At 51.9% G+C, this 21,953-nt stretch overlaps 1 long non-coding RNA gene across 1 annotated transcript, besides 5 other annotated features; it reads left to right on the forward strand.

Moving 5' to 3' along the window:
* Positions 7,525-7,634: an enhancer, noted in NCBI's record as "active region_22308". NCBI's record gives its function as "activates an Ori minimal core promoter by ATAC-STARR-seq in GM12878 lymphoblastoid cells {active_cell/tissue: GM12878}" and the evidence as "EXISTENCE:reporter gene assay evidence [ECO:0000049][PMID:35858748]".
* Positions 7,975-8,034: an enhancer, noted in NCBI's record as "active region_22309". NCBI's record gives its function as "activates an Ori minimal core promoter by ATAC-STARR-seq in GM12878 lymphoblastoid cells {active_cell/tissue: GM12878}" and the evidence as "EXISTENCE:reporter gene assay evidence [ECO:0000049][PMID:35858748]".
* Positions 8,905-8,954: an enhancer, noted in NCBI's record as "active region_22310". NCBI's record gives its function as "activates an Ori minimal core promoter by ATAC-STARR-seq in GM12878 lymphoblastoid cells {active_cell/tissue: GM12878}" and the evidence as "EXISTENCE:reporter gene assay evidence [ECO:0000049][PMID:35858748]".
* Positions 17,614-17,873: an enhancer, noted in NCBI's record as "active region_22311". NCBI's record gives its function as "activates an Ori minimal core promoter by ATAC-STARR-seq in GM12878 lymphoblastoid cells {active_cell/tissue: GM12878}" and the evidence as "EXISTENCE:reporter gene assay evidence [ECO:0000049][PMID:35858748]".
* LOC101929003 (uncharacterized) lies at positions 18,445-19,248 on the forward strand. The gene is made up of 2 exons (XR_241722.5): positions 18,445-19,015; positions 19,184-19,248. It is a non-coding gene; the product is annotated as an uncharacterized LOC101929003 (long non-coding RNA).
* Positions 19,709-19,818: an enhancer, noted in NCBI's record as "active region_22312". NCBI's record gives its function as "activates an Ori minimal core promoter by ATAC-STARR-seq in GM12878 lymphoblastoid cells {active_cell/tissue: GM12878}" and the evidence as "EXISTENCE:reporter gene assay evidence [ECO:0000049][PMID:35858748]".

The following is a 21,953-nucleotide window of genomic DNA, read 5'->3' on the forward strand; positions in this document are numbered from 1 at the left end:
TTCTGAATTTAATTCTACCTATTGAAAGATGCCCATCATATACTCAAGAAAATCAACTTGGAACATTGAAATCAAATACAAAAATTGTGGGATGGAGCTAAAGCAGTCCTTAAGGAGAAATTGATTAATGCCTATATTAGACATGAAGAAAAAGTTTAAATCAATTATCTTTGCTTCCACCTTAGGGAGCTAGTTAAAAAAGAAAAAAATTAAGGTCAAGGTAGGCAGGAAAAAAAAGAAATAATAAAAACAGAAGGAAATTTAATGAAATATAAAACAACGGAGAAAATTTACAAACCCAAAATTTGTTATTTGTAAAGATTAAGGCCGGGTGCAATGGGTCACACCTGTAATCCCAGCACTCTGGGAGTCTGAGGTGGGCAGATTGCTTGAGCTCAGGAGTTCAAGACCAACCTTGGCAACATGGCGAAATTTCGTCTCTACAAAAAATACAAAAATTAGCTGGGCATGGTGGTTTGAACACCTGTAGAAGGAAGCTACTTGGGAGGCTGAGGTGGGAGAATCACTTGAACCCAGGAGGCGGAGGTTGCAGTGAGCCAAGATTATGCCACTGCACTTCAGCCTAAGCAACAGAATGAGACTCTTTCTCAAGGAAAAAAACAAAAGATTAATAAAATTGAAAATCCCTTAACAAGACTGATTATTTAAAAAAAAAAAAGGCAAGACAAATCATCAATGTCAGGAACCAGGAAGGGGCATCACAACAGGTCCTGCAGACACGCAAAGGGTAATGAGTGATGACACGAACAATTTCATGCTGATGCATTCGACAGCTTAGATAAAATGGACAAATTCCCTGAGAGACACACATTACCAAAATAAACCCAGGCAAAAATAGAAAATTTAAATCGCCCTATATTTGTTAAAGATATTAATTCATAATTAAACTCCTTATAAAGAAAATTCCAGGCCCAAACAACTTCATTAGTAAATTCCATCTAGTGTGTAAGAAAGAAGTAACATCTATTCTATATAAACTCATAAACTAGAGGAGGAACTATCATTTCCTAAAGTATTTTATGACGTTACTATAACCAGAATTCAAAAACCAGACAAAGGCATTATAAGGTCAGAAATTGACAGACCAATAGCCTTCATAAGCATAGATGCAAAAATCACTAACAAAACATAAGCATATCAAATTCAGCAATAAGTAACAAGAATAAGATATCATGATTAAGTTGGACCACTTAATCATGATTCTAGAAAATTCCAGAAATGCAACATCTGTTTAACATAAGAGAATAAATCAATGTAGTTCACCAAATTAACTAAAGAAGAAAAATTATATTGTCATTTCAATAGATGCAAATCAATTATTTGAGAAAATATAACACCGTTTTATAACTTAAAAACTCTTAGCAAATGTTGGTAGAAAATAGTTGGTAAATTTTTCAACCTGATAAAGAGCTCTTACCGCTTCTTCTCAGTATAGTACAAGAGGTACTAGCCACTGCAGTAAGACATGAATGGGAAATGGAAGTCATATTAATCCAAAATAAAGAAGTAAAAGTGCTGAGGGAAAGAAGCTGAATGCCAACTAGTTTATACTGAATTATTCCATTTACATGAAAGTCTTGAACAGGTAAGACTAAACTTTGTTGTTGTTGGTTGTTTGTTGTTGACGAGATCAGATTCATGGGAACATGTGGGCAGTGATGGGAAAAGGTGTCGGGAGCCTGCGTCACACCTGGGGCCTGTTGAAGTGACTGAACAGCACTCCGAAGGCATGAGCACGTCCCTGTATGGAAATCATTTCTCAGTTTCCAAGAATATCCACATTGGTTTTTCTACAAATGGTGGGATTTTATTTAATCATATTTTATTGTTCAATCCTTTTTTTATTTGTAAGTTTTCTGAAATGACTATGTATTACATTGGTAAATCAAAATATTAACTAATCCAATGTAGTCCAAACAGTAAAAATACGACCTAAAATTATCTCAAGGTATAAATGCTTAGCAAAGAGTGATGTAGGGCCTAGCTCTCTTCTGAGCTATTTGATGAGCTCTTTCTAGAAGATGTTCTTACAATGAACTTGGGTAACAGAAGAAAGGATTCATAATCATAATGAAGGCCTGGGGCTGGGAGGGCATCTGGTCAATAAGAAATTGGCCCCTAAACCTCGAAGGTCCAGGCCCGAGGTTGGTCAGTTACTCCTCTCAGGTCAGCCTTGGAGGCAGCTGCCTTGTATTGGCTTCTTGACTCTTTGTTCTTCCTCTTCTCCATGTGTTTTGGGTCACAGTTCCTTTCTTCCTAAGTTTCACAAAGTCCTCACTGAGGTCTTCCTCCTGCCATGTCCTCAGTTACCTCCTGGGCTCAGCCTCGCAGGAGGAGCTCCCTCTGTTGCTGCTCCCCTGGGCATCGGGCATCTGGCATCTTCAAACACCACATGGCCTTCCAGTTCTTCTCCCATCCCCACCCACCCATGCCTCCGTGGGGAGGGCGGCAACTCTCCCAGGTCTTTGCCTCTGGAGGGCTGAGGCCCCACTCTCTTCCCAGGATTTGTGCCAATTGCTTTGGTGACACAGACACATGGGATCCCGTCTGTCCTGTCACTCCCTGTCCCCTCTCGGAGCTTCCTTTTTTTCTGACCCCTTCTGGATGCATTCAGGGCAGGACACAGTGGGCAGTGGGAGCTGCGAGGAGCCTCTGAGCACATGGAGCTGTCTCCTCCAGGACTGTCCTGAGGGGCAGTGGACACAGCCCACAGCAGACACCGGCCTTGCTGAGCAGGGAGACTAAGGACAGCAGCCTGGTGAGACCAGGAGCTCGGCTGAGAAAAGCCGCGCCCTCTCCGGGGAAAGCCCTGCGCCTCCCGTGCGGCGTCTGTTATGGTGGATGCCGCCGGCAGAGAGCGACACTGTGGACTAAGCCGTGTCCTCCAAAGTCATAGGTGAGGCCCCAGCCCCCACGGGACTGTATCTGGAGCTAGGACATTAGGGAGGGAATTAAGGTTAAATGAGGTTGTGAGGAGGGCCCTGACCCGATAGGACATGTCCTTGTAAGAAGAGAAATCGACACCAGGGATGCGCGTGCGCAGAGGAGTGGCCGTGGGAGGACACGGGAGAAGCCACAGTCTGTAGGCCATGAAGAAGCCTCGGGAGAAACCGCCCAGTGGCCCCTTGGTCTTGAACTCCCGGCCCCCAGACTGGGAGGGAACAGTTTCTGGTGTTGAAGCCCCGGCCCGTGGTACTTTGTTACAACTGCCTGAGCCAACAAGGCCAGATGAAGAGGAAGGACAGCAGTGTGCCAGGTGTGTGTGGGCCTTGCACAGCCGGGGAGGCTCTGGTGTCAGGAGGTCCTGTCTTCAGCCTGGCTGGGTAGTGCTGGTGAGTCAGCTGACATCCGGGGCTCTGTGTTCATTGTCTACCTTGTGGGCAGCAAAGCAGATGACCCTCCTGCATTGAAGCCCCCTGGGCCTCTGGTCACCCAGAAGTCAGAGTCGGGAGACACACACCTGCTGTCCATACCTGCTGCCCTGGTGCGACTGCAAAGAAAGGCAGAGACCCAGGGGCATCGGCTATGGCACCAGGATGCAAAACACCAAGTGCCTCTCCCTCCCTGGGAACACTGGCAAAGGTGCAGCGAGCCACAGCCTGGCGTGAAGATGAGGGTTGGTCTGGGCCGTGCTTGCCTGAGCAGCCCAGGGTTTCCTGTGCCCTCCAGCTGAAAGCTGGGGGCCTGTGGGGTGACCCAGGCTGCAACGGTCACAATGAGGGCAGCACTGGCTGTCACTGTCTGTCCCAAGCAAGCCCTTTGTCTCTGAGAGGGCAGGGTGCATGTGTGTGCATGTGTGTTACGGGCACCTTCCCAGCAGGAAAGCGACATGCCAGCTCCCCTCACCCCCCTCGGGGGGCCAGTTTCCACGGTCTCAGCTTGGTTGGGGGTATGGGCGCTCCCTTGCCCTAACCCCTGGGGGAGCCCATTTTCCCAGACACAAGGACAAATCAGGCCGGCTCAGCTGGGGACAGCCAATTTCCTGCATTTATTTGTTTCTCCCGAAAGAAGGCTTCTGTTTGGTTCTAATGAGTAGCTTTTCCTAAAGAGAAACAATAATAACAGCAGAAACGTAAGTGGATTCTGTAAACTTGTAATCATACGTGTCAAACACAGTGTGGTATTTTCCCCCGCAAAATAGAAATGGTGGGAAGTCATACAGAGTGGGTGCGGGAAATTGTGTTTTCTCTGACAGAAGTTAATTCTAAACTAAGTATTCCCTGAAAGGAAAGCAGGGAAACATTTTTACATGTCTATCATTCGTCCTTAGAGGACACAAAACAAATATGTTTTTTAATGCTTGACACCAGCATTATTCCGGGTGGCCTCGGGCTATATGCTGTTTTCCAGTTTGTAGAATTGGAGGAGAGGAAAACAGCCCTGCATTAAGAGGAACATATTGTACAGGTTAATCATAAGCACGCAGAAATCAGAGTGCTGCCAGCCGGCAGGACGGAAGGCCTGGGCGCCAGGAGTTGCGGGAAGGCAAGGAGGCGGAGGTGGCAGCAACGAGGGGCCAGACCAGGGTCACTGCCCCGGTGGCAAACGCTTGTGGATGTGCCATGGGCTGGAGCTCTTTTGGGTCCCTCTCCATCAGGAAGCCGCCCTTCACAGGTCTCCCAACAATGCTTACGTGCAGAAGGAAGCTCCTTGGAAAGCCGAGGGTCATTTAATCAGAGTCCATTCCCCAAGAAGTCCCCGTCGAGGAGCACTTAGGCAGTCAGGTCCTGAGAGGCAGACGGCACCATCAGGGCCAAGGCACCGGGGCTGTCCCAGATCCTCCTGCGAATGTGGTGGGAATTACGACTGCTCCGCAAAGTGAGCCCAGACGCACACATTGCATAAAAGCGTAGCGGCCGCAGGGCCGAGGTTCCGGAGGGCACTTGTTGCTTCGGGGTGTGTGTGGCCCCACCTCGGGGTCTCTTATCCAGCTTGGCCTTCGGTCACTCCCACCTCAGCCTCTCCCGCTGGGAGGCAGGCCCATGTGCGCCCTTTCGGTGGGGCGTGGAAGTCTTGCTTTGGTAGGAGGCAGCCCTACCTGGGATTTCCACTTCGAGGTTCCTTCTTTTCCATGGGATTAGGAGTGCTTCATCGCTGACCCTGGGGCCAAGCTTCAGGATTTCTAAGCCCACAGTCCCCCATGAAAACCCAGCCCACGTGGCTGATGCTGGGGGAGGGCTCTCAGAACAGGGGCTCTTGGGGTCCCTGCCCTGTGAGAGTTCAGCAAGAGGTCAAAGTGTGCAGCTACTGGCCCTGGTCCCCACTGCCTGTCAGCCTCCCTCCCCCACCCAGCCTGTCCTTCCAGGGGCCGCAGCAGGGCCAGCAGGGCACACATAGGCCTTCCTGGACCCCCGCAGGGGAACCCCAGCCCATGCACTTGCCCCATCCTGAGGGCGATGTGAGGCTGAGGGGCCCCTGGCCACGGGTCCCATTCCTTCCCGCCTCCTGCCAGTATGGCCTCCCGAGCACAGGCCCTTTACCATCCTTCTGAAATTCTCAGCAGCATCTGGAAGGGAGCTGGAAACATGGCCCAGGGAGTGAGTTGCCCACAGAACATTCTAGTCCGATGCTGGCCCCAGCTTCCCTTCTTCTTTCCTAGGCTATGTGCCTTTTACTCCCAGAGGCATCCGGCCACCCTGGCTCCTGTGGGGATGGTGTCTCTCCCACTCTGTCTCTTCTCTCCATCCCTGTCTCTGTCATACATTCACGCTGCGTGATGGCTGATTTGGTCCAGCAAGAAGGTGGCGCTGCGACCCCTCCCCTCCAGAGCATGGCTGCCACCACTGCCCAGGGAGGGTGGGAGGAGGGACGCTCTGTTCTCAGTTCCAAGAGGATCACACTGAACCCCAAACAGGTCTGCTGTTGGCATCAGAGATGCCCGCGGAGGGACTCGGCTGGCAGCCCCTGGCTCAGGGATCAGCATCCTGCCAGGGGTGGCTCCCGGGTGTCCTTTGCTGGACTCCGGCCTCGCCACTTCCCTGAGGCCTTCAACATCCAGTCTTGGGGGACAAATCAGTTTCCGTTGATAAAAGAAAAACTTCAGCCAAATTAAATGTAAAGGAATTTAATTGAGCAATGGATGATTTGTGAATCGGGCAGCCTTCCCAGCCATAGCAGGCTCCAGGACTCCAGTGCACCCTCGGGCAGAAGAATAATTTTGGATAGAAAAAGGAAAGTAACGCACAGAAGATGGAAGTGAGGCCCAGACACAGCCGGATTGTTACAGGTTGGTGTTTGCCTTATTTGAACACAGTTCAAACAGCTGGCTACATGTGATCGGCCAAATCTCAGTGATAGGCACAAGTGTAGGCTCTGGCCTGTTTACACCTCCACTTGTTATAGTTGACAATATGCAGAAAAACCTTTAGGCCGAACTTAAAATATGTAAGGAGGCAGCTTTAGGCTAAAGTTGATTTAGCACCGTGCATTTTGAAACTCACATTGGCAGGAATCTCTTTTATTCACTTTCCCCAAGATGTCTTCTTGGGTCTTCCGACAGTGCCTCGCTGCACTTCAGGATCTTTCTCTAGGAACATCAAGCAGGCGACTGAATGGATAATGCATCCTCGTTCTCAGCTCAGCCCTTCCCTCTGTCAGAGGTGGGAAGGGCAGAGACACTGTTTCTGGAAGGTTCTTCTGTATCTGCTCTCCCACCGCCATCTCACCCTGGCCTACACCCTGGGACCTGGTTTCACAAGGACCTGGCAGAGCAGCCTTGGGACAGACCCCAGATGCTGGAGGACGGTGTAGCTGCCTCAGCCTCATCCTCAGCCTCACCCTCAGCCTCACCCTCAGCCTCACCCTTAGCCTCAGCCTCACCCTCAGCCTCACCCTTAGCCTCAGCCTCAGCCTCACCCTCAGCCTCACCCTCACCCTCAGCCTCACCCTCACCCTCAGCCTCAGCCTCACCCTCAGCCTCACCCTCAGCCTCACCCTCAGCCTCAGCCTCACCCTCAGCCTCACCCTCAGCCTCAGCCTCAGCCTCACCCTCAGCCTCAGCCTCACCCTCACCCTCAGCCTCACCCTCAGCCTCACCCTCACCCTCAGCCTCACCCTCAGCCTCACCCTCACCCTCAGCCTCACCCTCAGCCTCAGCCTCAGCCTCACCCTCAGCCTCACCCTCACCCTCACCCTCAGCCTCACCCTCAGCCTCAGCCTCAGCCTCACCCGCTCCCCCCCGCAACTCCACCAAGCCCCAGGACAGCTCTGAGCTGTGCTCACTCTCTCCTGGGCCAGGCTGCAGACAGCACTGCCAAGCCACCACTTCCCCACGATCTCAAACAGCAAAGGCTGCAAATGCTTGGGTGACTTTTTGGTCCCCAAAACTTTCTGGACTCACACCTGAGAAGGCACCTCTGAGGGAAGCAGGGCTGCAGCTGCCCAGACCAGGAGGGAAACTCCAGGGCTTGGTTGCTCACCTGGTTCCCCGCCAAGGTGGCCTCTCACTGGGGCCATTTAGCTGAGGGGGCTGCTGAGCTGGTGTGAGACCCCTGAGGCCAAGTTCCCCAATCTCCTGGGCTGTGTGTGGCGGTTCCTGATCCAGCTGTCCCCTCCTCATGTGTGAAGCACAGGTGGCAACTGCAGGCACCGCTCAGGAGCCTGGGGGGGTGGTGGTGTCCATGCAACTGCCGGTTCGTGCATCCTTGGTGCTGTGTCTCAGCAGGAGACAAAAATGTCACCCAACGTACCCCTCAGAAGAACCCCCCTGCCTCATCTGGTACTCCCCTAGACAACTCCTAAATAATGTCAGTCTCCTTGGAAGGGGTTAATAAGGCCCCTCACAGAACTTGGGTGATCACTTCAGAGCCTTTCGGCCTTAGAGTAATTCTGCCATTGCACCGTCACCCTTGGGAACTGTGAGCATTCCCCATGGGAGCACCCATCTTGTCTCAGGAAACTCACGTTGATCACTGCCCACTGGTTCAGAATAAAATATGGTCTGGACTGTTGAAGTGGAAGCCCCGGAAATGCTTAACGCCTTTTTCAGTGTTTTCATTTTCCTAAACGGGAGGGATCCTCCAGTGTACATATGTGTGCACACACACACACTCATAAACACACCACACATGCAAACATGTAAACGCACCATGAGAACACACATGAACTACACATGCACTGACATGCCATGTGTGCATGCACACACCACACATGCACACGTCTGAGCACACATACCACGCATGCGTGCACCCTATGCACTCACACACGCACATTCACACGTGCTCACATGTGCACACATGCACAGCATGCAAACATGCCACACACACACACCACACATCTGTGCACACATATGCTCTGCCCTTCCACATGAGATTCAGTTGTTCCCTTGCAAGCTCTTACCCTGGAGTGGGCCCTGTCCCCAGAGATCCCTAAGAAACAGCCACGCACAGTTTGTCTGAAACTGGGCTCTGGACACAGAGCTCTGGAAGGGGTCCCCTGCCTTTGAAAAGGCCACAGGACTCTCAGCAGCTTGTAAGGACTTGTGTGTCACAGTGTGGGTTTAAAACAAAGACGGGTCCCTCTGGTCTGTCAGATGCCATGACCAGCATTGCCCAGGTTGCTCCTCCTCTGGCTGCTAGGAAGGGTGAGGCTGGTAAGGCTGGATTACTTATCAGTGGGGGAATTTTTGGGCCTTTTGAAGTGGCTTTGTGAGTCTGGAGGCTCTGAGTTTGGCCCGGCGCCTGCTCTAGGGGTTGACACGCGCACCTATAAATAACAGCGGTGACAGGTCCCCTGTCAGTACCCGCTGATGGACGGCCCCTTCTCCCGCCATTACAGCCTTGTGACTGTGGGAAAATTAATTTAAGTGGTAGTTAATTTCTAATGAATTCCACTCAAGCGGCTAATATGGTCCCTCGGCGTTATGGTAACCTTCATGGATCATTGCATTATGTAAATAAATTCTACTTTATGCTGGTTTATTAAAAAAGAGAGTGAAGATTGGGAAGCCTGGTGAAATCTTCTCTCAGACGCACACAACTAACAGACAGCAGGGAGATGTTTAAGGAAGGGAAGCCGCCCAGCCCAGAGGTGCTTTCCTGGAAGGCTGCGCTTCTCACCTCTAACTTTCCAGATGGACCCCACTGCCCACTTTCAGGGCTCCGCATACATATCTCCAAATCTCCAAATTCCATTTTGTTTTGTTTGAGATGGAGTCTCAATTTGTCGCCCAAGTTGGAGTGCAGTGATGCGATCTTGGCTCACTGCAACCTCTGCCTCCTGGGTTCAAGTGACTCTCCTGCCTCAGCCTCCTGAGTAGCTGGGATTACAGGCAGGCGCCAACAAGCCTGGCTAATTTTTTTTTTTTTTTGTATTTTTAGTAGAGACGGGGTTTCACCGTGTTGGCCAGGATGGTCTCAAACTCCTGACCTCAGGTAATCCACCCTCCTCAGCCTCCCAAAGTGCGGGGGTAACAGGCATGAGCCACCACGCCTGGTCTCCAAATTCCTTGTGTCATCATTGTATTCCAAATGGAAAGAGGAGTGTTCTGCCTTAAACCACATGCAGTTCCTCATAACCCTCAGAGACAAACCTTGGGAGTACCCTGATCGGAAGCCCCACTCTGAGGACAAGTGCAGGCCGGAGGACCTGGGCGTGCTTCGGCTTCCTGGTCCAGCATGGAGAGGGACAGGCGTGCAGACTCCCCATAAATTCTTCCACGCAACCCTCAGCAGCCCACCCTGTGGAGGCCCCTCCATGGCCCTCCCTTGCCCACTCCTGGTCACTCCAGTCCCCTGGTGGCATTCGCTGAGGCAGAGACGCCCTCCACCCTGCAACTCTTTCCCGTCTCGGCACCCAAAGCCTTCCGTGCTCCCAGTCTTCCTCCAGTGCCTGGGCACCTGCTTTTCCCCTGCTGTGGCACCATCTTTTTCTATGTGGGAGTCCACAGGGCTGGAGCCGGGACCCCTTCTCTACCTACACATTCTCCTGGGGGACAGAGTCCAGCCCTTGGCTTTCAATATGCTTTGTTGGGTTGTCTAATGCTGCAGTCAAGCCACCCTAAGGCAGGACTTCAAATTCAAATAGTAATGACCTTGCATGTTGTTCCCAGGTCTGGGGTGACTGGGCTCAGCAGGGCTGCTCTTGTTCAGCAGTGGTCAGATGGTGGCTGTGGCTGGGGTCGTCTCCTTCATCTCACCTGGTCCTCAGACTGAGGCTCCCATACCTGGACTCCTCTGGCGCACCTCTGTCTCAACAGCCTCTCCGTGGAGCAGCCTCCGGGTCTGGCCACTGAATGGTCCCGGGGCGAGGGCCCCAGGACAAGCCCACAGAGGCTTCGTTGGTTTCCTAAGCTCACTTTTCATTGTATTGATGGAGATGGTCGCAGAAGCCCATCCATGCAGGTGGCGTGGGGGCAGAGACCTCACCTCCTCAAGGAAGAAGGGTCCAAGAATTCTGGGCACATTGCAAAACTTCCCACTCTTCCTGTGGCCTAGACACCCTGATCTTCACCTCCAGACTCAGGTCCAGCCTCTGGTCCTCTGTCTCGGGGGCTCACCCACATGGGCTGTTTGAGGGTGCTTTGCCTTCCTCCCGCTCAGTTTCCTGCTCACTGTGGGTTTAGCTGGTGGCAGGTGCTAGCAGATCAGAGCAAGACAGAGGCTTTGCTTCAGCTTTCCCTGCATGCAGCAAGCCTGGGCGTCTCGGGGGCCCCTCCACACAGCTGCCCTCGGCTCCGGGAGCTGCCCCTCCCCTGCCTGTCCTGTGACTCTTTTTAAACCCTGCTTTTATATTTATGAAAGCTGGTGGCCAGGTGCGGTGGCTCACACCTGTAATCCCAGAACTTTGGGAGGGTGAGGCAGGCGGGTCACTTGAGGTCAGGAGTTCGAGACCAGCCTGGCCAACATGATAAAACCCATCTTTACTAAAAATACAAAAATTAGCCGGGTGTGGTGGCACGTGCCTGTAATCCCAGCTACTTGGGAGGCTGAGGCAGGAGAATCGCTTGAACCTGGGTGGCAGAGGTTTCAGTGAGCTGAGATCGCACCACCGCACTCCAGCCTGGCAACAGAGTGGGACTCCACCTAAAAAAAAATGCTGGCTAAAGCTCACCTGTCATCACCCAATTCCCACGTGCCATCTCTTTCCTGCCTGCCCCGACCAACACTGTTTCTCTGAATACCACAATGGGACCCAGCCTGAAGGCACCATTTTTCCTTCCAAACTCACCTCTTCCCAGTTCCCCACTGAGCAGAAGGAAACACCATGCACTCAGGCGCCCAGTCAAAAATGAAGAGGCCAGGCGCAAATTCTCCTGCTTCATCACCACACAGCCAATGCACAGGTGTGTCTGGTCTACACCCGGGTCTACCCTGGAGTCTACCCTGGGGTCTACCCTGGGGTCTACGCTGGGGCCTACACTTGGGTCTTGCCTCGGGTCCAGGGGTTTCCCGTCGTCCCCTGCCAGCCACGGTGCCCTCTGGTTGGGCCACCACAGAAGCTCTACCTGACTTCCTGCCGCAGTCCTGGTTCCTGCCGTCTGTTCCACACATGGGGCCGGATGACCCCTGGAAGCACCCATAGGGCTTCCCGTCACCTTTGGGACCACGCCCACCCATGCCCAGCCTCCAGGCCCTGCCCCATCTGACCCCCCAGCTTGGCTCCCTGCCCTGCTCCAGCCGCCACCTAGCCCCAGAAACATGCCGTCCCAGGTGACCCTCATGGGAAGGGACCCCAAGGGGGAGTTGGGTGGGGGTGCGTGCTGGGAAGACCTCCCAGGACCAGCACAGAAAGAGGCAAGCTGCACACAGGGCCGGCATTGACGGCATTCCAGAGCAGAAGAAGGAAAAGTAGAAGGCGAGGCTGGGGACGTGAAACAACTTTGCATCATTTACTATTAATTGAGTCCAAACAAACAGTACAGGAGCAACTCCCCTACATCTAAAACCAAATCATCATGTCTCGAGGCTCTTCCTCTGCGCCATTGGCGGCCGTCCATTCTACAAATGACCTGCCTGCTTGCCTAAATGCGTCCTGACGGGGCCGAGGGAAGGCCGCACCCCTCGTGTGAGATGCTGTGGATGTGTTCTGGAGATTTCTGTGGCCGTGTCACGGGCAGGGGCGTCCCGCGTGCACCTGCAGCTCTTGCCTTTGTCCGATTCTTCTTTCAGCACAGGGGGTGCCGGTTTCAGGTGGAGCCCGTGCTGCGTGGCCCTTCTGTTTTCAGGTCACACCAGTGTCCACCCAGCGGGTTTCTGGGTTTGATGGCTCTGCTCAACATTGGGAGTAAAGAAGACCCAATCAGGCCCCCACTGGGGAACGGGACCCGGGCTTGGCCTGATTTGATCCATGCTCCTGAGGCCTGTGAGTCCCAAGGCTGTGAGTGGCATGTGCTCCAGGGTCTCTCCAGATGGGGCTTTGTCTGGGGTCACACGAGGCTGTCAGGGGCCTAAGCAGGGCCCGGATTTCCTAGGGAGGCCCTGGAAGGAGGCCGTCCATGAGGCTGGAGCCTGCAGGAGGTGCCTTCGTGGGTAGCCTGCCCTGCGGGAAGCTGCTCTTGGCAGACCTGGCAGCCCCGGTCCTTTGCTTGTCCTTAGGTGAGCTTCCAGCAAGGCTGCAGCAAAGATTTACAGGCGCCCAGGCTGCTGGGCAGGCTGAGGCTGGGGGAAGCAGAGCTCCTGGGCAGGTGAGTGTGAGCTGGGCGGTGCCTCCCGGCCAGGCCTGCTCTGCCTGCATTCCCCACGCAGCCCATGGCTTTCCCAGGTGAGGCCGAGGTAAACACAAGGAAACTCGCTGTGCGGCAGTTTCCTTTGCCACGCACTCTTCCATCAGAGATGGCCTCCAGCCTACCCCCAGCCACCTCCCATCTTCCATATCCCTGTCCTGGAGGGCTGCCTCGCCGCCCACATCTGGCCCCCTCTGTCCCCGCCACCTCCCCACACAGAGCAGACCTGCCCTGGGTCGGTCCTCTCTTCCCAGGAACATCTCCTCCCTTGCCCCTGCTGCCCCCGAAGCTGCTGAGCCAGAGTCTGAATCCTGCCTTGCCTCCACTGGGTCCCCGGGAGGGCAGGGCTGTGTGGGTCCCCCTCCCTAGAGCCCACCCCGCCCATGTTCTGGCCAGGACTGGGGCGCTGGACAGGAGAGGAGGGGCTGGAAACCAGTCTTCCTTCCCTCCTGGGGGCGGGCTCCTGGATTTTTTTGAGACCCCCAATTGCTGCAGGGCCCAGACCAGGAGGAGTGCCTTCCGGTGGACCAAATGGCCTTTACCCACGTGCCCAGCACCTGCCTTCAGTGTCTCCCTGACACCCTGTGGCCCGGGAGCTGTGGCAACCTCATCCTGTCTTCCCTCCTCCCTCCCCTCCTGCTCTTTTTCTGTCTCCATTTCTATCTATCTCTGTCTTTGTTTCTCTGTCTCCATCTCATTCTCTGTATCTATATGTCTCTATGCCTATCTCTGTCTCTGTCTCTTTCTCTGCATCTCATCCCCCAGGGGTCCCCATCAGCTTAACGGGGGTGTCCCCCCTCCACCCGCCCTGGGGTGGTACACTTGGTGGGGAGATGGTGTGGTGCAATGCAGTGGATTTGAGATGGGGGGGCAGATCCAATCACTGGCTGACGGGGGCTCCTCCACTTGCAGATGGGGTGACCTGGGGAAAATCACTTCACTGCTTTCATCTGTAAAGTGGGAGTACGGGTGACATCCGCCTCCTGGAGTCACTTTGAGGATTGAATTGATGAATACACCCTGAGCAATGCCTCGTGAGTGGGCCCCGTGTAAATGCTGGTGTGACCATTACCCAGGTCCTGGAGGGCACCCAGGCACGTGTGGCTCCTGTGGGGTTCCTGTGGCTGAGACTTGGGAAACATCAAACAATATTCATAGCAACACCTCCAGACTGTGAGCCATTAGCACCTGACCATGACAAGGGCTGCCTTCTCTGTGAGTAGAGACAGAGATTACATTTTGTGGTGGGAGGCGCAACTTCACGGTAGCCTGGGTGATACCTGTGAACTCAGCAGCTACGATAAATACTAAAGCGAACAGCAAAATTTGCATTTCAAAATAGTAAAAGTAAAAAATCCAAATTAAATTCTGATGGTATTGAGAGCTGAAAGCCATTTGTTAATAAAAGCCTTCCAATGAAAAGCATTAGAAAATCTAACAATAATTATTGGAATCTTACCATGTGCAGTTCTTCGTAAGCAAGTTTTACTGCAAGTCCTATGAGAAGGTTCAAAGGTTCTGGCCACAGAGCACCAGAACCGACGGATCCAGCTGCCAACAGCTAAGAGCGACCCCCCTCCTTTCCTCAAAGCAGCCTCTGATGAAAGCAATGTCCAGGTGACGCCGGGAGAGCTGCCTAGAAGGATGAGAGGAGTAGGGGCAGCGGGTGTTTCCTTTGTCCTCCAGCTCTTCGGCGTCTGACTGCCTGCAAGGTTGGGAGTAACCGCTAGAGCACTGGCCACCCTATCGTGCCAGGAGTTTGTCATAAGGATGGAAAGTAAGCACCAGGGTTGGCTGGTGAGGGAGAAGGGAAGAAAGAGACCGGGAAGTCCAAACACAGAGATGTCCTAGCCGCCCAGAGAGCCTTTGGACGGCCTTCCTTGAGGTAGGCAGACAATACGCTGCATGTTTGGTTTAAACCACGGCTGAGGCAGGAGAAGAGGGTCTGGAGGCGGGGAACCTAAGGCTGATTCACGCTGACTTCCTAGAACTAAATCAAAAGGAAAACCCCAACTTTCCATGCCCAAATAACCAAAGGACCAGAGGCTACTCTCTTTGCAACCCCTCTCCCTTTTTTCTGAGTGGCAGATGAAAAATTGAAAATACCTCTGATTAGTCCCCTCCTGCAACCAATCAGGCTGGTCTAGGGCTAAGTCTTCATTTGCATAGGAGTATAATGCTGTAACTTCACTTCGGCCTCTGATTGGTCACCTTCCACAACCAATCAGACGTTTGCATAGGGTATAACTTTGTAACTTTGCAACTTTGCTTCAGCCTCTGATTGGTCCCCTCCCACAACCAGTCAGACAGATCATGGGCCACTACTTCATTTACATAGGGTGTACACCAAGTAACCAATGGGAAACCACTAGAGGGTATTTAAACCCCAGAAAATTCTGTAACTGGGCTCTCCAGCGCTTGCTCAGGCCTGTTTCCATCATGTGGGGTGTACTTTCATTTTCAATAAATCTCTGCTTTTGTTGCTTCATTCTTTCCTTGCTTTGTTTGTCCAATTCTTTGTTCAAGACACCAAGAACCTGGGCACCCTCCACCAGTAACACTGCTATTTTCATCCCTTCTCGTTTGAAGTGGACACAATTTATAACCAGCTGTTCATCTTTGGATGATCAGGCAGGACTCTCCTAATACGTGAATCTATATACATACCATGCATTTGGCACAGTGCGTGATTCAAGATAACAGCTTAATAAACACTTGGCTGGATGAGTAAAGACTTAGAGTTTGATTCACTGACCACAGGAAATGCCTTTATCCTATCTCAAACAGCATGCTAGTTACTTAAACTGATAAAAATTATACATAAGAAATCGATGACAATTTTGGAATAGGTGACTGCATTCTCAACCACTGAAAGAACCATTATGCTTTCGACAGAAACCTTAGGAGAAAGCGTGCCTCCAGACTTCCTGAGAGACGGCAGACAGGCCGCCAGGATTTCTGGGTAGCAATTCATCCTGTGTTGACTAACAGCATCACTCTGTAAGGAAAAACATGCATCGCTTTCTGAGGAAAAGACAATGAATCTTTAGTGGTGGCCAGCCAGGGGAAGCAATTCTCATTTCCACCCTGGGGAGCTGCTTGGGTGGGTCCTAAGACTCCCGGGGCTGGCTTCCTGACAGCATGTTTCTGAACACTGACACAGCCAGAGTCAATTTCTCATGCAATGCAAAACAGCTTTCTTTGTTGTATGCATTCCTCATTTCTTCCATGCATTTTAAATAGGAAATGACAAGTGGGAACTGGGAGAAAAAAACAATTAACCTCTAATTGGGAATCATGACCACTAATTATAAAATAGGGGGAAAATGCTTTAAAAGTCAAAAAGAGGAGTGAGAAAAGATAAAATTGTGCATAAATGCTGAAAAACACCCTCAGTCATAAATAATGCTCACCATATCCTAAACCATCTTCAGAAAATGAAGGATGCAGCCACCTGGGGGAAGAATGGGGATGCCCCTGGGTCACCGGCAGGAGCTGCTGTCCAGATGCAGCCTCAGGTTGCAAGACGGTGCACAAGACAGGAAAGAAACAAGAATTATAGGCATTTGTTTAGAGACTCACAGGATAGAGCCCAGAGGTCCTGCAGGAGCCAATAATCCTGCTGGCTTCTAGGGAGAGAAACTGGGTCTCGCATTCGGGAGAGAACTTCAACTCAGGTGTCTTTTGCATTTTGAACCATGTGAACACATTATCTAGTAATACTAATTTAAATTAAAATTATTTTCAAAAACATTCTATACCACTGTAGTGGGTTGACTAGCAGCCCCCGCAAAATTCCTGTCTACCTGAAACCTCGAAATGTGATCCTATTTGGAAATAGAGTCTTTGTAGATGTAATTAAGAATTTCCAGATGAAATTATCCTGGATTAGGGTGGGCCCTAAAGCAATGACGGGTGTCCTTCTAAGAAGAGGAGAAGGCACAGATCCCAGAACAGAGGAGAAGGCCTTACGAAGACAGAGGCAGAGGTTGGAGCCCTGTGGCCAGAGCCCAGAATGACCTGGGGCCACAGAAGCTGGAAGAGGCAGGAGGAATCCGCCCCTGGAGTCTTTGGAGGAAGCACTGCCTGGCCCACACCTGGATGTTGGACACCTGGCCTCCAGAGCTGTGAGAGAATACATTTCTTATGTTACAGTTTGTAGTAATTTTTTATGGCAGTCACAAGCAACTAACATATCACTTCATTCCTTTTTAAATCATCTTATCCTCTAAAGAAGTATACTTGAAGTGTAATTAACAAAATAAATTTCCCCCCCCTTTTTTTTTTTGTTTTTGGAGATAGTTTCACTCTGTCCCCCAGGCTGGAGTGGAATGGCACGATCATGGCTCACTGCAGCCTCAACCTCCCAGGCTCAGATGATCTTCCCAACTCAGCCTCCCAAGTAGCTAAGACCACAGAGGTGCACCGCCATGCCCGGCTAATTTTGGTATTTTTGTAGAGACAGGGTTTCACCATGTTGCTCAGGCTGGCCTTGAATGTCTGGGTTCAAGCAATCCTCCTGCCTCAGCCTCCCAAAGTGCTGGGATTACAGGGATGAGCCACTGTGCCTGGCCTTTCCCCACTTTTCAATCTTAAATTTGTCTTCATCTGGGATGAACAAGAGAGGTGTCTTTCTAAAGCCGACAGGCATGTAATGCACAATAATAAAATATTATACAATTTGTTTCTCACCCAGCCACTTACTCAACAAAAGCCAAAGAGAATTGCTATATTTGGTATAATTAGAAAAACAATAATAAATAAATAGTATCTGTCACAGTTTTTTCCAAAGTACTTTTATATGAAAACTGATTCCCTGAGTTCTTAGGGTTTTACACCTTAAATTTAGGGAGAGCACATTCTTTCAAGATTTAAATTTTGCAACAACACAAGTCAAAAATAATTTGAGTAATGAAGGGAAGGAGAGTGTCATCCTGCCTGGGACTGCGTCCAGGCAGTCCAAGACACATGTGCAGAACACGTGCACATGTGCAAGGTGTGATGTGATGTGAACATACGAGTGTTGCTCCCAATAGGGAGGAAGGAGAGACTATGGCATCTTCTCTAAATCTTCTTTTTATTTATCCTTTTGTTTTTGTTTTTTTTGAGACCGAATTTTGCTCTGTCCTACAGGCTAGAGTGCAGTGGTGTGATCTTGGCTCACTGCAACCTCCACTTCCTGGTTTCAAGCAATTCTCCCACCTCAGCCTCCTGAGTAGCTGGGATTACAGGTGCCCACCACCATGACCGGCTGATTTTTTTTTTTTTTTGTATTTTTAGTAGAGAAAAGGTTTCACCATGTTGGCCAGGCTGATCTCCAACGCCTAACCTCAAGTGAACCCCCACGCCTTGGCCTCCCAAAGTGCTGGGATTACAGGCATGAGCCACTGTGCCTGGCCTAGTTAAACTTTTTGACTTTTAAAAATAAGTAACGGTTGTTCAAAGGTCTTTAGAGCAGAAATGAGAGTCTCAGGGCTCCCCAAATCTCTGCACACACGGCTTTCAGAGTGGAATTACCCTTGCTCACACACAGCTGCACACAGCATAGCTCTGATGGCAGAGGGTTCACTTGCTGCGGTGAATGTCCTAGAATAGAAGTGGGTTGGTAAATGCTTTCTGCAAAGAGCCCGAGAGCAAAACCTTTCTGTGCTCTGAGGCAATGACTCAACTCTGCTGTGGCAGCAGGAAACACACACAGACCACAGGATGCATAAATGAGCGAGGGGGCGTGTGCCAATAAAACTTTATCAACAACAACTGGCAGTGGCCCAGCCATGGACTTGTGGAGGAGACCATCATTTGATGCAGTTGGCCACACTGAAGCTCAGACACGCCAACGTGGTAATGAGGCAGAACGTGGATTCCACTCCATCCTTTTAAGATTAAAGACATGCTCAGCAACAGGTGATACTAGTTCAAGTATTTACCGGGTTATGTGCTGGGTGAGCTGGTGAGCCTGCAGTCCCAAAAGGAAGAAAAAGAGAATGAACGCAGCAGCCAGCTGCGGGAGAAGCAACCGTGCAGCCATCTCGGGTTGGGGGGCAGGAGGTTTCCCAGGGGAGCTGCCTCCTGGCAGGAAGCGCTGGAATCCAGCTCAGTAATTCCCATGAACTCTGTTTAACACCAGCAAGATGGGAAAGGAAGGCAGCTGCAGCCCCAGCTGGAGAGCAGGGCCCTGAGGCTGGGCTCTTCCTGGGCACAAGCCTCTGCCCAGAGCTTCCTGGCGGGGCCCTCAGCTCCTCTTCTCCAAGGCCTGGAAACGAGCTCCATGGGGCTGAGAATCATCTCTGTGTGTGGGAGACACATGGTCAATCTGAGTAAGCGGAAAAAATGGTGAGTGGCTGCGATGGGAAGGAAGCCCCAGAGAAGGGGCTGAGCCTGACTGGCAAACGGGAGGGCGTGGAGTGGGTGGGCAGGGACTTCACTTTTCCTTGACAGTTGTTTCATTGCTCAGATTATTTTGGCAAAGCATATTGTTGACGAATTTTTATGTTTTTCTAGGTATCAATATAAAAGTAAGATATAAACACAACTCCTCAACAAAATTAAAACCCACAGAAAGGGAACCTCACATTTCACTCCCACCTGTCTGTTCTCCCCTCTCCTTGAGAAGTAAAAACAACCACTGTCTTGCAGTGTGTTGCTGCAGAACTTTTCTTACAAAGTTACCTAAATACGGTGGCTTCGAAAAACGTGCTTAGATTTATGTTTTTTACTTAAATGGAAACGTATTTTGCACACGGTTGTACAACTTTTTTTTGCATATTTAATATTCAGAAATATGTCTTGGCGTTGAGTTTCGAGATGGCTTGTGGCGAGCCACGCCGTTTGCCCTAGGGCTGCTTGGTTACCATTTGTTGCAGGGCTCTGTGGTTACCAGGAGCCTGTGTGACCACTGACTTCACATCTGCCCTTCGCTGAACGTGTATTTCTAGAAAAATCCAGTGTCAAACTTGTCCCACACTCCAGTGCCAGAGGTGCTGAGGGTTCTCTTGGGCAGGACCGTTCAGCAAAGTCCACAGAGCAAAATGGGAGCTTGGCCTTAAAAGGGGTGAGCAAGCAGGAGGCGGGCCTCCTCTCATGAGCAGGCACGGAGGTGCTGGTCTGCCTTCGCTGGCCGAGTGCCCGCTGCAGGCTGGGCTGGTGGGAGACGTACGGACACAAACACGGCTGGGAAGCAGGCTCTGCCTCCACGCAGCATGCTCATCTGTCCGGGCTGCAATAACAAAATTCCACCAACGGCTTACAGACAAGAAACTGGTTTCTCACAGATCTGGAGGCTGAAGTCCAGCATCAAGGCGCCGGCAGCTTCCGTGTCTGGTGGGGCTTCCTGGCTCACAGACAGGGCTCCTCCTCACATGGTGGATGGGGCGAGCTGGCTCTCTGGACTCCCTTTTCTCAGGCCCAAACCCCATCACAAGGCCCTGGAGCAGGACTGAGTCACCTCCTGAAGGCCCCGTTCCAAAGCACTCCCACGGGGGATTAGGTTTCAACACAGGAATTTTTGGCGACACAAACATTGAGACCACAGCACCCAGCTCTCTGGGTTCCCAGAACCCTGTGGGAGGGCTGGGTCGCGCCTGCCCCCTTTTAAACACGAGGCTTCCATGGAAGCTTCTTGCCGGAGGCTGGACACTGAGGAATGGACAGGATCAACACTCTTCCACCGGCTCTTCCACCTCCCGATCACTTCCACCATCGCTGGGGGAAGAACGAATGCACCGCGTGGAGTGCTTCCGCCACAAAGCAGCACATCACCTCTGCTCGGAGACCCTGCTGGTGACCCTCAGCCAGCCTCATAGGCCACAGCAGGTCTCACAGCCATGCCCACTCGCAGGGAGGCAGGGAAGCCCCAGCCCCCACCGGTCCGGCACAGGAAGGAGACCTGGACCCTGGGAGTGCCGGTCTCGCCTCCCACTCTCCTGGGTGAGTGACAGCGACGCTGCCAGGTGGGTGGTCCATCAGTTAGACCTGGTCCGTGAGTAGCCTCCTAGGTGGATACAAACATGACAGCGTCCCACAGAGCACCTCGCCTCCTTCTGGAAATGCATAGACAGCTCCTATGTTCTTCTCTCCATCTGGGCATCATTTACTCTTCCTTCACTTGCACTGCTGTCCCCAGTTGATCTTACTTTAAAAGTCCCTCAGAGAATAACCTAATAACGTACACCTGAATAGCACTTCTAACTTCTCACAGTATTTTCAATCCGTCTTTCAGTTCATTGGCACCACACCTTCAGGAGACAGGGAGGACATTGGCAAGACAGGGCTGGCATCTGGCAGGGCCCCAGGCCACCCGTAGGTCTCGCGAGTGCAGGGACAGCTCCTGACAGGATGACCCTGCCGGCCCACGTGCCCACTCCTCCTCTCTCTGCAGTCGCCTTTCTCTGTGCCCATGAGGACCTGCTCAGCCCACCTTTGGGTGGCTTGGAAGTGCCTGGGATTTAAGTCCCCACACGGTCACCCTCAACCACCAGTGACGAGCATCTGTGGATAAACGCCCCCCCCCCCCCAGTCCTCATCCCCTACAGGACACCAAGGTCCATTCCGCCAGAGCTCAGGGGACACAACAAGGTGGCACCCGGTGTCGCTCTGGTTCTGTGCCCTGGAAGCTCCTCTCCCTCCCTGACTCACATCCCCACTCCCCATCCTGACTTCCGAGATCACCTCCCAGTGGTGCACCTGCATCCCAGCCCTCGTCATGGCAGGCGGCAGCAACCCTGGTTCATTGATGGGGAAACGTGTTGCCCCCCAGGGAGTGCTTGACAGTGTCTGGGGCACTTTTGGTTGGCCCTGCTTGTGTGTGGGGTGCTCCCGACATCTTGTGGTGGAGCCCAGGGATGCTGAACACCCGGCAGTGCCCAGGATGGGCCCGGAGCACAACCCAGCCCCAGATGTCCACAGTGCCGATGCCCAGGATTCCTGGCCTGGTTCTGCAGAATTCTTTTATTAATCACTTATTCTGGACTGAAGCCTGGATAGGTAATTATCAGCCTTAGATTTCTACTCAAGCAAAATTAGCAGAATCCCACCTTTCCCCGTTGGATCAAGCGTGCCATGAAATCCATGCCTTCTTTATTCCTTCCTGTTGGCTCCTGTGCCACGCTGCCTTGCTGGGGATTTGTCTGTGCAATTGTCAAGAGGCCACGACTGTGTGCCCACGTTTGCATGGCACGTAAGCACATCACACCCAACTGCAGGCATGCAGCCGGTGGTCAGGTCTCCCCCCAGAGCACTGCGTACTGCAGAAACACACCCAGTTTTCATCCAC

The sequence above is a fragment of the Homo sapiens genome, chromosome 5 (genome assembly GCF_000001405.40).
Source record: "Homo sapiens chromosome 5, GRCh38.p14 Primary Assembly".
NCBI lineage: Eukaryota > Metazoa > Chordata > Mammalia > Primates > Hominidae > Homo > Homo sapiens.